Source organism: Homo sapiens, chromosome 9 (assembly GCF_000001405.40).
Source record: "Homo sapiens chromosome 9, GRCh38.p14 Primary Assembly".
Classification (NCBI taxonomy): domain Eukaryota; kingdom Metazoa; phylum Chordata; class Mammalia; order Primates; family Hominidae; genus Homo; species Homo sapiens.
In genome coordinates this window covers 138,039,580-138,055,318 of record NC_000009.12, presented here as the reverse complement: position 1 = coordinate 138,055,318, position 15,739 = coordinate 138,039,580, and the positions used below count along the sequence as shown (strand labels likewise).

General features: G+C 54.1%; 1 protein-coding gene and 1 long non-coding RNA gene across 3 annotated transcripts in view; one reads left to right on the top strand and one right to left on the bottom strand.

Annotated features, from left to right (window-relative positions):
- The window catches only part of CACNA1B (calcium voltage-gated channel subunit alpha1 B), a 246,838-nt gene that overhangs the window by 69,301 nt on the left and 161,798 nt on the right, over window positions 1-15,739 (bottom strand). For both annotated transcript variants that reach the window (NM_000718.4, NM_001243812.2), the window contains exons 21-26: window positions 11,419-11,545; window positions 8,286-8,415; window positions 7,861-7,920; window positions 6,004-6,110; window positions 3,131-3,227; window positions 1,313-1,473 (exon numbers count right to left, since the gene is read on the bottom strand). In NM_000718.4, the coding sequence (NP_000709.1) occupies window positions 1,313-1,473; window positions 3,131-3,227; window positions 6,004-6,110; window positions 7,861-7,920; window positions 8,286-8,415; window positions 11,419-11,545 (682 nt within the window). The remainder of the gene's footprint in view (window positions 1-1,312; window positions 1,474-3,130; window positions 3,228-6,003; window positions 6,111-7,860; window positions 7,921-8,285; window positions 8,416-11,418; window positions 11,546-15,739) is intronic.
- Window positions 10,248-14,816, top strand: LOC101928786 (uncharacterized). Its single transcript, NR_121582.1, has 3 exons — window positions 10,248-10,440; window positions 11,532-11,870; window positions 12,318-14,816. It is a non-coding gene; the product is annotated as an uncharacterized LOC101928786 (long non-coding RNA).

The following is a 15,739-nucleotide window of genomic DNA, read 5'->3' as shown; positions in this document are numbered from 1 at the left end:
TCTCCACAAAAAATTTTAAAAATTAGCCAAGCATGGTGGCACGTGCCTGTAGTTGTCTAAGCTACTCAGGAGGTTGAGGAGGGAGGATCACTTGGGCCTGACAGTTCGAGGCTGCATTAAGCTGCAATAGCAGCACTGCACTCCAGCCTGGGCAAAAGTGTGAGATCCTGTCTCAAAAAAAAAAAAAAAGAAAAAGAAAAAAGAACTTTGTTTTTTAAAAGACACCATTAAAAGAGTAGAAAGCACCATTCAGAGGAGGAGAAGACGTCTGCGATCCATACATATGACAAAGGGTTCCTGTCCAGAACATTACATGATTCCTAGTAACCGACAGGAAAGAGGCAGACAGCAGACACAGGACCACAGGCAGACACTTCCAGAAAAGAACACCTAAGCGGCCAATCCCCCTAGCAAAGGGGGCTCAATCTCATTGGTCATCACACAAGTGCAAAATTAAACCACGGTGAATGACCACTACACCCAGAAAGGCGAGAAAGAAAACACCAAGATTTAGCTAGGATGTGGGGCTCTCATCTACGCTGGAGAGAGTGTAATTTTACACAAGGGCCTGGCAGCATCTACTAAGGCTGAGTACACGCACACCCAGGACCCGGCAATTCCACTACCAGACAGATACACCTCCCCAAACTGCTACTGCTCCCTGGCGGACGTGTGCACGTGCAGCATTCCCAGCTGCAAACAGCCAAGTGCCCATCAGTCACACGGCACAGGAGGAAGCTGCATGATATTCACACAGAAGCAGCTGGGACGCTGCCGCGTGGGCAGGAAGACACTGTGGGTACTGCCTTGCCCGGGGTCCACACAGGCAGCTAACCAGCTTTCCCCCAGCTCTTCCCCAAGGGCCCCTCTCCTGTCTACTTTGGAGGCAGCGCTGGGCACAGGAAGCTCTGAGGCCTCATGTGGACAGTGACAGCAGCTCCAGCCATCGGGCAGCCCCTCTGACCTTACAGCCCAGCCAAGATCTCTAGGGCTTAGAGAAAGCCTTGCCCAGTGGGCACCTTGAGCTCCCTGGATGTCTGTGTCCCTCAGAACATGCCTGGTTCCTGACTCTGCTGAGGAGGAAGTGCTGGGGGTCCCTGGTGTGGTGCTGGGGAGGGGATGCATCCTGTCTTCTGTGGTGACTCTAGCCCTTCTCAAGCAAGCCCCTCCTCGGCCCTCAGGCAGGGTCCGTGATGCTCTGCAGTGGAGTCTCCCACGCCGTGTGACCAGCTCCACCTGGTCCCAAGGGAACTCCCAGTGTTGTCTGCATCATGGGGCTGTGTGTCCCACCTTGCACCCTGCCTCAGTTTACCTGCAGTCCCTCTCCAGCTCCTTGGATTCATCTGTGCAGTAGAAAAACTTCCCTTTGAAGAGCTGCACCGCAATGACGGCAAATATGAACATGAAGAGCATGTAGACAATCAAGATGTTGAGGACATTCTTCAGGGAGTTCACCACACAGTCAAACACAGCCTGCAGGAGGAGGGGTGGAGCCATGATGAGGGGGTGGAATCATGGTGGGAGAGTGGGGCCATGAGGGGGAAGGGTAGGGTCACGGGGAGGGGTGGAGCCACGATGAGGGGGTGAAGCCAAGGTGGGAGGGCATGGCCGTAAGGGAATGGGTGGGGCCATGAGGAAAGGGGTGGAGCCATGGTGGGAGGGTGGGGCCATGAGGGGAAGGGTGGTGCCATGATGAGAGGGGTGGAGCCATGGTGGGGGGTGGGGCCATGAGGGGAGGAGTGGAGCCATGACAAGAGGTGGAGCCACAGGGAGGGGCCGGAAGCAGGAAAGGATGTGAAGGGAGCCAGGAGAGAGGACCAGGCAGGGCACCTACGGGATGGAAACCTGAGGACCACTGAGGCCCAGGTGGCCCCCAGGCATTCCAGGGCCCTGCAAGGCCCTCAGGCCCCTGACCACAGAGAGGCTCCACCGCCAGCTTCCTTGACACACAAGACTGGTGCTGTGTCTCTTGTGAGGGGAGGCATCTTGGCCCGGATGGAGGGGCAGGAGGTGCTAGAGGCAGCAGCTGGATGCCTAGGAGGGCCGACCTTACAGGTCAGAGTTCAGCCACAGAAACGGGAATGACCAAGAGTCCAGACCCAGCTGCACCAGCAGGTGCTGGGCTTGTGCAGAGAGGATGCAGCCAGGCTCTGCCCTGCACTTGCACCCTGCCCATCAGGGAAGCAATTTGGGCAAACTGAGGATAAAGCAGTAGGCTCCAGGACAGGAACACGTGTGCTCTGTGGCCCGAGGCCGCCCTGTCATCAGCCATCACCACCTGAGGCTTTCTCTTGGGTCCCTCCCAACCTGGAAGCTCAGCATTCCCTGTGCACACAATGCTGCTCTCAGAGCTGGGAAGACACCTCACAGGCTGCTCTGATCTAGCTGTGACGGGAAGGTGGGGCCACAACCGTCTCCCACAAAGCAGCCTGGCACACTGTGGATGACCACTGCACAGCGCCACTCGGTGCCAGGGCAGGTGCCACTCCTCCCTGGACCCAGTGGGCCTCCGACGCCTTCCCCAGCTGCCTGCCAGCCCACTCCTTCACATACAGGTTCTAAACAAACTTTCTTCTCTAAGTCCCCATTGCCTCAGGTCTCAATGGCTTGAATTTCCAGTAAAAGAATCTGCTGCATAAAGGTTTGGGAGATTAAGTGAGCTGAAGCACATGAAGCAATTCGCACAGGGCCTAGCACAAGCTCACAATTACTAGGTTTCAGCGTGGCCCTATGAGTTTGAGTTTATTCTCTGTCTTTATCCAGAAGCTCAGCCCATGCCTGTCCCCCTCTCAGCAGCCAATGTCCCAAGCCCCTCACCTCCAGCATCTCCCTCCACCACCCTGCACCTGTCCCGGCAGCCTTTCCCGCACTGCACTGCAGCTGCTGAAGAAAAACCCTGTGCCGCCTGGTCCTGCTGGGCTAAGGAGGAGGATTCTCACAGGAGGCTGCTGGGAACAAGGTCTACTTGGGTAATGGGGGCTTACAGCTGAGTGAGCCCAACCCCCTCACACAGGGGTGTGATGTGAACACACACACACTCATGCACTGCATGCATACACACACACACACGCACACACACACACGCACACACACACAGCACATCCCTCAAGCCCCAACTCCAGGCTCTAACCTTGAGCTTGGGCAGCCGTTTGATGGTCTTGAGGGGCCGCAGGACACGAAGGACTCTCAGAGACTTGATGGTATTGATGTCTTTCCCTTTGGATCCTCTAGAAGGGAGAAGCCACAGATGCAGACAGGCAGGAGGCATGGGTGTGCCCAGCTCCCACGTGGCCCCCCAGGGTCTGAGTCCTGCTCCCCTGTGCATTTTGTCTCAGACTCCAGGGTGGAGGACCCAGGAGCAGAGAGGCCTTGCCCTGCAGGTGCCACAGGCCACCATGACTCTTCCCAGGGGCTGCCTGGCCCGGGCCTCATCTAAGGACAGGAGCTGGGGCTAGGGCAGCAGCATCTGGTGCACAAGGAGAAGAACCATCACCCCTGACACCCCTCCCACCCCAGATTCCAGGATTAAGAGGACAGAAGAGACCCGCACGAGGACTGCAGACCCAGAAGTGGGAGCCCACAAGCACGTTTCTAGGGCGAGAATCTTCTGGAAGGGCTTTTTTCCTTGCTTTTTGGGCTGGCTAGAGGGAGGTAAAGGGGACCTGTCTGGCCTCTGCCCTACAGATCTCCTCAGCCGTCCTAACATTCCTCCCGCTGACGTGAAACCGACAGCGGGAAGACAGAAGAGGGGAAGGAGAGTAAGAAAGAGAAAAAGTCGGACGAATACAGAGGCAATGCAAGAGGCATGGTGGACTAAGACAAACAAGGGGAGAGGGAGGGAAGGAGGGAGGGAGGGAGGGAGGGAGAGCCATAGAGACAGACATATCAATGCTACCCAGAAAGCAGCAGACAGGAAAACTCATGCAGAGCAGGGACGGCAAGGCAGGAAGTCGGGGAAAGAAAATTCCAGGCACAGAAGCAAGCAGAAGTACAGAACCAGAGGGCCTCAATCAGGGCCCCTCCAAGAAAAAGCCAGGACAGACCCAGGCAGCTGCCTCTACCTGTCAGGGACGCAGGAATTAGCAGGTTCTGGGGACTGGACCTCCCACGACCCTACTGAGGCCGGGCCAGCAGTGTCTAGGAGAGATTTCCTCCTAAGGCGGCCCCCGTTCTCAGAAGCAAAGCCACTCTACTTGGTGGGAGGTGAGGGTGGGAGCTGAGGACTCAGGACTGAGTGGGATTCACTCACACATGGAACCCTTCCCACCCTGCTCAGAGGCCACGTCCCACCACGCTCCCTGGGGAAGGCCTGCTTCTAGGGGTGGCCCTGCCCCCTGTGCTCTTCCTGGGGCTCCAGCAACACTTGGGGCTGAGCAGGGAGAGTGAGCTACACGTCTCAGGCACCCTGGTCCCCTTCTTCTCCCCTGACTGTAGGCTACACTCCAGAATCAGATCAAACTCCCCCTGAAACGCTTCCAGGTGGGAAGAACCCAGCCTCCTGTCTCCATCACCCCAGTGCTCCCGACACCCACTCTCAAACCAGCTCCTCCGCCAGCTGAGGGAAGAGGGGACAGGAGCAGGAGGGAGGGGATACTGTTTTGTCACCCAGTAAATGAGGCTTTCTGGGGGAGCGTCCATCTGGGGCCTGCTCCTTTTCTCCTGCTCTGAAGCCGCCTGGATGGGCCCAACCCCTTCCCCTCCTCCTGACTGGGGGACCCCTGGCTGCAGTGTTCCCACTCCCAAGGCCTAAGCTGATGCTTTGGCAAAGCTCTCATTCCTTTATCACAGAAAGAGGAAATAGTGGGAACTGCAGGGGGCTGGAGTGGAGAGGAAACAGAGGAAAGAATGCCGCTCTTCCAGAGAGGAGCTGCACCGGGAGCGCCTCGCGATGTCCCCGGTCCTCGGGCTGTGGCCACAGGTGGCAGTTCCCTCCCGGAGCCCTTGCTGCCCTCCAGGCCAATGGCCCCAGCCTCCAGCCCTCGCTGGTGACAGCCTGCTCACCAGCAAGCTCCTCACCAAGGGCTGACCATGCCCAGCTCCAGCCCAGCTCCCCGCCCCGCTCCCAGAGGCATGGCAGGAACCCCTGGCCGGGGACTTGGCTCCCGGCAGCATGCAGCCCCGATGGGGTGAAAGTGGATGGGCGGGGGGTGAGGCTGGAGATGAAATGACCCAAGAGGGGCTGCTGGAATGCTGTGATGTCAGGGGCAGCGTGTGGGGGAGAGAAGGCATTACCCCACGAAGCTCCTGCCGAGTCCAGCAAGAGGAAGACAAAGAGAACAGAGTCAGTGGCACCAGGAGCAGCCCTCCCAGCCGCTCAGAGAGATGTGGACCCTCCCTCATGTCTGTCGTCCACTAGGGGTCTTCCTTGTCTCTGGATCTCACCCCACAACTCCCCGCCGTATTCCCATCCCCAGCTGTAGCTGAGCCCCCGACAATGCCCTCCATGCAGTTATCTGAGGAAGCCAACTCCATTTCCAGCCACAGCAGGGCCAAGTGCCACTGGCTCAGGAGTCAGAGGAGACGTCTAATGCCCCAAAAGGGGAAGGCGACCACCAGTTCTGCCTTGGGCGAAAGCACCAGAGGTCTCCCTGGGTCAGGAGCAGACTTGCCTCAGAGCAGGTCAAGGTGAAGTTGCCTCCAAGGACCCTGGGAGGCAAACGCTGGACACACCAGAGGCTGTGCCGCCCGGTCCCAGAGCCACCGGCCGCACCAGGGCCTCCCAGCCCCACATAGCACCCACCCCTCCAGGCAGGCGGGGATGGTCCCAGGGCCACAGGCCACACCAGGGCCCTACCTAGTTTGAGAGCCACAGACAGACCTCATGCCCTCCTAACCCCACGCAGCCCCGCCCCAAGCAGGCAGGGACAGTCCCACATGGACAGCAACAGAGCCACAGGCAGCCCAGGGAAGCCCACAAGAGGGCCTCTTCCTTATTCCCTCACCCTCACGCCCATCGTGATTCTGGGGGCTCTCCCTAGCCAGAGCAGAGCGAACGTTACTTACGAGAAAGCAAACGCCACCAGGGCGCCACTGACCACAATGAAGTCCAGAATGTTCCACAAGTCCCGGAAATAGGCTCCAGGGTGAAGCAGCAGTCCCAAGTCGATCATCTAGGAGGGAGAAACACACGTTAGATACGTCATAGTCCAGAAAAGACAGGCAGAGGCCAGGTGCAGAGGCTCATGCCTGTAATCTCAGCACTTGGGGAGGCTGAGGCAGGCAGACTGCTTAAGCCCGGGAGTTGGACACCAGCCAGGGCAACATGGTGAAATCCTGTCTCTTAAGAAAAAAAATAAAACATGGCCAGACATGGTGGCTTATGCCTGAAATCCCAGCACTTTGGGAGGCTGAGGCGGGTGGATCACCTGAGCTCTGGAGTTCAAGACCAGCCTGGACAACAAGGTGAAACCCCATCTCTACTAAACATACAAAAATTAGCCGGGTGTGGTGTTGCACACCTGTAATCCCAGTTACTTGAGAGGCTGAGGCATGAGAATTGCTTGAACCCAGGACACAGAGACTGCAGTGAGCTGAGATCACGCCACCATACTCCAGCCTGGATGACAAGAGTGAGACCCTGTCTCAAAAAACCAAACCAAAACAAACCTAGAAAGATAGGCAGAGCTACAGGGCTTGGTTCCAGAGTCATGGGGGAGGAATATAGCTCTAGGTCCCCATGGAAGGCTCAGTGTGGCTGAGTGCACACGTTATGTGCACACCTGTGACATCAGTGCACCTTAGAGACACCTTTACATGCCCTGTCAGAGTAGGGAGACACGGCCCAGGTCACACCCCGAAGGGCCTCAGTGGGCCTTTGGACCTCAATGCCATGGACCCAAATATCCCTACATGGCTTGTGACCGGCTGAGATCCTGCCTGGGCTCCTAAATTCCCTGCAGCCTGAATGAGACTGAGGTCTCCATCTCCATCTGCTCCTCCATCACTGGGCTGTAGGTACACATGGCCCCAGGGAGCTCAGAGCTCGCCCAGATCCCCTGCAGGCAAGCTCAGAGCAGCAGGACTGCAGTTACGCAGACCTTCACTCACATCCTGGCTCTGTCACTCCTGCTGCTGTGATTCTAGGCCGGTAACATAACCTCGCTAAGGGTCAGCTTCCTCATCTGTAAAATGGGGATGATGACACACACCCCACAGAATTTTGCAAGAGTGAAATAGCAGAGGTAACGTGTTCATGCATCTGCTGTCAGTGCTCCATATGCACACGCTGTCCTGTGTGCACGCATGCCGGCTCACACATACCCTAAGCTGCACGGAAGTCATGGACGTGCAGGTGTGTGCACACTCAACCACACTGAAGGCACACCTGCATAAACACACAAGGGCCACACTAGTCAGTGATATGGGGGACCTCGTGTCAACACTTAGAGGCAGACAGTGAAGGACTCAATCTATCATAAGACAAATGCCCTCCTAAATTCAAGTCTTCAGCACCCACTTCCAACAATCTTCTAACACCCTCTCTCTCCCAGGTCTCCTCCTCCCCCAGCCAATGCCATGCAGCCCTCCTCCTTTGCTGTCCTAAGAAGAAGGGCCTCCGCCCACATGTGCACATTGGAGACAGACTGTATGTAGCTCATGTGTTCAAGAAACCAGAGCAGGTGGAGGCCCAGGCACGACACTGGGGAGCACTCCCAGCGCGGGAAGTAATTTTCTCAGTGAACGACAAAGCCTCTTTGTGTGCACATGTTCATGTGCTGAGCACACACCCAGTACGCACACACCTACCATATGTCTTAAGAGTTTATAGAAATTGTGGTTCAACCACTGCCCTGGTCCCATCTCAATCATGAGGGAGGGAGAGCAAAACACTGGGGTCACAAGGGCAGCCACATATCTCACCTTTATCACCATCTCAAAGGTAAAGACACCAGTGAAAATGTAATCCAGGTATTTCAGAGCCTGAAACCAAAAGGAAGGTTATTCTCAAAGGCTGGGCTGAAATCTGAGCCAGGGTGCCCTCGGTGGCTCCGAGTTTTTCCTCCAGGCCTCTGAGCAGTCAGCCAGGGAGCCAGGAAGCCTGTGGAAAACGGTTCTGGGAAGGGGGTCTCTGACAAGCACCGTCTGGGAACAGGCCCCCTCTGCCGCACCCTGTCTTCCTGTCTCCAGACCTTTGGTCGTGCACTGCCAGGCACACAGACAGAGGAAGGAGGGGTGCCCTGTGAGACGACAGGACCTCAGCCCCACCCCAGCCCCTTGGGCCCCTGGGAAGGCACCCAGCTCCCCCGCCACAGCCTGGCGGGGACCCGGCCATCCGGGCCACTCACGTTGTTCCTGGGCGAGTCTGTGCGCACTGGGTCCTCAGCAGCCAGGGCGATGCTGCTCAAGGCGATGACCACGAGAATGACCACCTCGAAGTACCTCATGGTCACGATGTAGTGGCAGAAGCGGCGGAGCCTGTGAGGGAAGGCACGGATCACCACAAGGCCCCCCAGCCGGGCGCGCCACCCCTTGCCACAGGGCAGGCTCAGCCCGTCCCGCAGAAAGGGCTCTGGGCTGCCTCAGGAAGCTGTGGCCCCAGAGCTTCGCTTTGCTAATGGTCCCTGTGGTTGGTGGTGGCAGCCAGGTGACGGACAGTGGCTGAGATTCCTGAGAGGGCCTCCCGGGACGGGGGGTGGGGAAGGCTGCAGAACCTCATGGCAGGGGTCAACAAACCAAAGCTCACAGGCCAGATAGGGAGACCTGTTTGTGTGAATAAAACTTCACTGGAGTACAGCTACATCCATTCACTACCAACTGTCCATGCAGCCAACAGCAGTCCAAAGCCAACAGCATCAACTACCCAGCCCTTTCACAGAAGAGGTCAGCTGTGGGCAGCAGGGAGGGAGTTGCTCAGAGAGGAAGAATTTCAGCGTCAACATTCTCACGGAGAGCAGGCCTCTCTTGCCCTAGGAAAGTTCTCTGGGGCCTGTGCGGGGTGTGTGCCCTGTCCAGGCTCCCAGGGTGCATGTGAACACGCTCCACGTGAACACGCTGCACGGGGACACACTCCACACACTGCCACGTGCTCGCCTTTTGCTCCAGTCCCATTTGCCCGACTCGCTTGTTCAACATTACTGAGCACCTACCCTGCCAGGCATGTGCTGGACACTGGGGGACACAGGGGTGACCAGAACAGGCCTGATGAAGCTCCATTCAGCAGTCAAAACACCAGGAAGCAGCGAGGAAATCAACAAGCAGGGGCCTCCCTGCTACTGGCAGAGCCACAACGTGAGAGTGCACAGTAACCAGGAGGCTGGGAAGCCCATCTACGGGTGGGGGACCAGAAGAGGCAGCCGTGGACGGAGCAGGTGGGGCAGACGGCCCCCATCACGAGGGCTGTGCTCTGGAGATGCCTCCCCTGCCTCGCAGGCGTGTCCACCGCCCCCAGCCCCTCTAAGCTCTTCCTCTCACCCACACCTGCGAACCCCCAAGGGCCATTCATCTTAAGCGGCTGCCCACATCTCCCTCTTCCTTGAAGGGAACTCAGCCATCTAGCTCCTGCCCCTGTGTCCACAGAGCTGTTCATCCCTGGCCCACCGCCAGCCTGCTGCTGCCTCAACCCTTGCCACTTCCCCTGCCTTTCCTTCTAATTCAGCCGTCATCCACTCCAACTTGTGTCTGGGTTTCTGGCACTCAGCTCTAGCCCCCAGCTCAGATCCTAAGTCCACCTGGCCATGAGACATCCCCAGCCACCCCAGGCTTTGCAGGGTCTGCAGGCGGGACCCCAGCAGCACTGCTGGTCTCAGTGAACGCAGTGCCTTCCGCCACTGTCAGGCAGAAACTGGGTTTCAGTCAGACATCCTCGATGTCTCCTTCCCCTTCCACATCTAATTTATCACCAAATTCTGTAGATTCTGCCTCTAAAATTCCTCCATACGCACCTGACTTCCAAACCTCAACACTATGAGTACCCTGGTCAAACCACCACTCTCTCTGCCTGAAACCCTTACCATCTACTCAGTGGCCTCCATCTGTAGTCTCCCCATAAAAGGGCCCTGCTGGGCTGCAATCCGAGTACCCCCACTGTGCACACGTCCCACGCTTCTCAGTGTGCTCCGGGATGGTGCAACCCCCCAACCCCACAACAGAACAACCAGCCAGCTCTGCCTACCCTTTTGTGTTCTGACCCAGTTCTGTCCTTGGCTGTGTGCCAACTGCTGGCTTCTACTTCTGGGCTACTGTGAATGCTCCGCTAGTTCCTCCCCTCTCCCCTCTTCACCTTAACTCTTATTCATCCTTCAGGTTTCAACCAAGATGTCACTTCCACCAGAAAACCTCCCTGGCCTTCTATCACCTGCTCCCAGAATGCCAGTGCCTTCCTGTGTTTCCATTTCCACACCGGGTTACCACCCCTCACCTGCCACTGCACTGTCAGTCCTGACATGGCAGGGTCCACGTCTGTCTCCATTACCGCTTTACTCCTAACCGCAGCGTAGCAGGGTAAGCTCCCAAGACATGTGTGTTGGATAAAAGAGTGACTGGGGGGAGGAGGCAGGGAGCGGGGTAATGCAGGGCTTGGTAGAAAGACGGTTGGGTGGTGAAAGAAGAAGGGGATGGGCAGATCGGTAACGAACAGGGGTACGTCCATGCAGCCTTGCTGCCCTCTGCCCTCCCGTCCACCTGCCCAGCCCCTGCTCTGGCCGGGCAAGCTCTTGTGTGGTTCCACCCCTGTCTGCCTCTCCCTCTGCCTCCTCCTCCTCAAGCTCTGCTCCAGTCTCACCCCAGAAGCCCCACCTGACCTTCTCATCTAAGTTTTAGCACCCAATGGTCCGCATCTCCATGCCTTGCTTTGTGTTTCCTCCTAGTACTTAACACTATCTGCATCTTATGTCTTTTACTTATTTGTCGTGTCTGTCGTCCGCCTCTCCCACCAGCACACAGGCTTAGCAAGGACAGGGGTTCTCACCTGTTTTGTTCATTCCTAACTATTCCCAGGACCTAGAGTGCTGTCTGCCACAGAAACACTGGCTGGACTAATGGAAGCCCTGGACTGAAGAGTGGATGATGAATGCATGAAAAGCACAGGCGTGGACACACGGATAGACATGCAAATAAACACAGTGCACACACGCAGGCAACACAGGTGCCAGGTGTGATGGGAAGGCAGATGGATGGAAGTGTGTTTGCGACACAGGGCAGACGGCGTCCCTGTGTGCAGAGACACACGCACACCACAGAGGAGGTGAGGAGCCCAGGCCTGGAGCTCACCCCAGCTCCGCTGAGGCTGCCTCCTGTGCCCGTGTCCTCTTCTGCAGAATGAGGTCACACGGGCACGTGCCTCTGGGGTCTGCCATGGGATTTAGAGCCGTTTCTCTACATAAGTGCGCAGAATCAGTGCACGCTGGCTACTGAGATCCCACGGGTCATGATGCATGGGTGAGTGGGCGGCCACACACACCAGCAGGCAAGGAGACTCACAGGTTGGTGGGGCTTAAACAGAACATGGAGCTGTATGGGACGATAGGCCGGGGGCCGCTCCTCATCACGTCATCCGCTTCCACCTCCTTCTTCCCCTCTGCTTGGCTTTCCAGGTCCACGTTACCACCTACAAGGACACAGGGCCCCCGAGTAAGGGGTGTAGTGCACATGAAGCCCACGTTGCGTGGCTCCCTCCCAGCTCCCATGCCCCCGGCACTTGCGTCAGGTCCTCACAGGCCCACCAGGGATGGGCAAGCAGCTAAGAACAGTGCTTCACGTACATGACCGTGGCGCACGACAGCCAGGACCACCATCTGCCGCAGAGACGCTAACGGACCCTTCCTCACCTCTTGCTGCACCAACGTTGGCAACAACACCGAGCCCAGCACCCGTGGCTGTGGACCCCTCTGCCGCGCTGAGGGGCCTCGATGCGCTGAGAAGCCCAGAGCCTGGTGAGACCTTCCCACTGCCTCTGCTGGGACCTCGAACCCGCAGCACAGGGAGGAGCAGGGGCCAGCCCCCGATCCACAAACCCACAGAGGCTCCCTGTACCTCGTTGTCCAGTCTCCCTTGACCTGGGATTTTCTTCCTCGAGATCCCAGGAGAGGGTCCTGTGAGGCCATGGAGCTTGGAAGGACGCCCTTCCCAGGGGGACCCAGCCTCTGCTCAGGCCCTGCTCCCTCGCCAGGCCCCGACTCGTCGCCTCCTTCCCCGAGGGCCCATCCTCTACCGCTCAGCACCCCACCACACCCCAGCTGTGCTCCCACAAATCAAACTCCCCAGGGCTAATATGGCCGCCACCTTGTTTTTTTAGGTAAATTTTGTTGTCCCTGCCCAGTGTTTTTCTCACAATAATTCTTCATTTTCAACTATCCTATTGTATATTTCAATTCTTATAGATGACAGAGCTCTTGAGACCTCAGGGACACCAAGGAAGACGTGCAGTGACTTGGAGCCGCCTCCCACTGCTGCAACTCATTTTGAGTTCTTTAAAGAAACATAAAAGCAAATAGGAGTTTAAGAAGCAACAAAGTGAAGGTGCTAATCCCCAGAGCCCGCTGTGGAGGCCTTGACTGCTGGCCACTTTGAGGTCCTGCAGAGAAGGGCTGTGCCAGAGAAAAAAAGCTTCGAGGTGAGCATGAAAACAGCGAAGGCCACAGCAGTGGGGTCTATACCACCGAGGATGCTGGCTCCAGAGCCAAGATAACCAGCCCCTGCCCACGAGCACAAGCAGTTTAAAGCGACCACTTTTGAAATGGGCACCATCAAACTTCCCTGTTGAAAACAAAAATTATGTAATCTGAGAAAGCAATCTGGCAAAACTTACTTGAAGCCCCAAAAAATTCTATTAATTTATTAGACATTACCTACTAAGGAAATGAAGCATGCCCACAAAAATATGTATTCCCAAAAGTTTTGTTGCAAGTTTTTTTTTTGTTTTTGTTTAATTTGAGACAGGAGACACAGTTTCGCTCTTGTTGCCCAGGCTGAAGTACAGTGGTACCATCCTGCAACCTCTGCCTCCTGAGTTCAAGTGATTCTCCTGCCTCCGCATCCCGAGTAGCTGGGATTACAGGCGCACGCCAACACACCCAGCTAATTTTTGTATTTTTAGTACAGACAGGGTTTCACCATGTTGGCCAGGCTGGTCTCAAACTTCTGACCTCAAATGATCCGCCCTTCTTGGCCTCCCAAACTGCTGGGCTTACAGGCGTGTGTTGTAAGTTTTTTTACAATAACAAAAATTATAAAATGCACAACCATAAACTGACTAAGTAAAATATGCAATATTTAAAAGAAGCACCATACTATGGATATTAAACATGCCACAGCTGTGTGTGGTGGCTCATGCCTGTAATCCCAGCACGTTGGGAGGCCAAGGTGGGAGGGATCCCTTGAGTCCAGGAGTCTCAAGCAACGAGACCATCCTGGGCAAGATGGTGACAGACCCTGTTTCTACAAAAAAATTTAAAATTAAAAAATTAGGGTGTGTTGGCGCGTGCATACAGTTCCAGCGACTCCAGAGGCTGAAGCAGGAGGATCACTTGAGGTCAGGAGTTCAAGGTTACAGTGAGCTACAATGGCACCACTGTACTCCAGTCTGGGTGACAGAATGAGATTGTCTCTAAAATAAATAAATAATTAATTAACTTAAGTAAATTAAGGAAAAAAGAATCAGTCTGGCTTCAATGAAGACTTCTGCTGCTCGAAATAAACAGGACAAAGATGCCAGGGCTCGGATGGAACTATTTCTCTGAAATCGATTTACTACAACATGGAAAATCATATGAAAGTCATCAATCATAGGAAAAAAATGTCAATTGAGTCAAAGCAGAAGAAAGAACGGAAAGGATAAAAATGAAAACTGCAACAGACTAAAGTCATTGTTGGAGAAAGGCTAGGAGAAAGGCTATTTTTAAAAAGACTTAATAGTTAAAAAAATTAAATCCCTGAAATAGGAGACAATGAAGCAAAACAGCGAGCTTTGGAGGGGAATACAGAAAGGAAGAGAGCTTTCACTAAAAACAGCCACATGCCAGACACGGCCCAGGTGCTTTACTCCCCCTAACAGCATGCGATGGCACAGGTTCCCCTTTCCAGATTAAGAAACTGAGGCTGAACTGAGGAACCGCTCTTTCCAGTGCACAGGTAGGAGTCCCAAGCCTTGGGTTCGCTTCAAGGTGGGGAAGCTGAATAGGAATCATCCCCAAAGCGGGGCTAAAGTAAGCCTGGACTGGCAGCACCTCAGGCTTCTGGAAACAACAAATGCAAATCCTCTCTGACAAAAACCTTCCTCAGTTGGCCTACAGAGTCCCCACAGGTTAGGGGGAATTTGGAGATAATTTAAGCTATTGTTTCCCAAGATATCTAAAGATATCCCAAGAGAAAGGATTTCTCTCCTACATATCTGGAGAGGTACAAGCTATGTTCCATCCTTGAGAAAACTGAAAACGTTGTTAATTCATTTTCTGTAGGGCTTAATTAGCTCACAAAACCTTAGTTGAGAAAAGGAGGATGTGATGTTTAATACTGAGCGTCAACTTGATTGGATTGAAGGATACAAAGTATTGATGCTGGGTGTGTCTGTGAGCATGCTGCCAAAAGAGATTAACATTTGAGTCAGTGGGCTGCGGAAGGCAGACCCACCCTTCCTCTGGTGGGCACCATCTAATCAGCTGCCAGCGAATGTCAACCAGACAAATGTGAAAAGGAGACAACGGGCCTCACCTCCCAGCCTATATCTTTCTCCCGTGCTGGACGCTTCCTGCCCTCGAACATCGGACTCCAAGTTCAGCTTTGAGACTCGGGCTGGCTCTCCTTGCTCCTCAGCTTGCAGACGGCCTATTGTGGGACCTTGTGATCATGTAAGTTAATACTTAATAAACTCCCATACATATATCATTTATATATATATATATGATATATAGGAGATACATATATATATAGGATATATATCCTATTAGTTCTGTCTCTCTAAGAGAACCCTGACTAATACAAAGGATTAAGATCAGTCATATATGAACTCAAGCAATATCACCAAACACACCATGAAACAAGGTCACCATTACTGAAAGACACAACAGAAACAATGAGTGCACTCACACCCCTAAAGACTTCAGATACAGGAATTCTTAGATGAGATACATAAAGTAAGTAAATATAGGCCAGGCGCAGTGGCTCACAACCGTAATCCCAGCACTTTGGAGGCCAAGGCAGGTGGATCACTTGAGCCCAGGAGTTCAAGACCAGCCTGGGCAACATGGAGAAACTCCATGTCTACAATAAATATAAAAAATTAGCTGGGTATGGTGGTGTGCGCCTGTGGTCCAACTACTGCAGAGGCTGAGGTGGGAGGATGGCCTGAGCCCAGGTGATGGCTACGTGAAAAGCCCAGATGTCACCACTACACAATAGATCTAATGTAACAAAACTGCATTTGTCCCCACTAACTCTATAAAAATAAAACAAAATTATTGACAGATCAATCAAGCAAAATATTAATGAATATAAAGAATATTTGAGTAATACAACTAACAAACCTGATTTAGCATACAAATATAAAAAACTCAGAGCTCACAAAATTAGAGAAAACATATCCCTCGGAAGCACATATAGAACAAGAACAAAAGCCGACCATGAAAAAAGCTGACCATAAAGCCAAGGCACAGAGCAAATGCAAATGAATTTCAAAGAAAACTATCATACAGATCATGTTCTCCTAATCTAACTTAAGTTCTAACTTAAGTTAGAAATTAAGGCAGAAACCAGAAACAAACAGATTAATTAAAATTAAAATTTTACATTTGGAAACTGAAAAAAA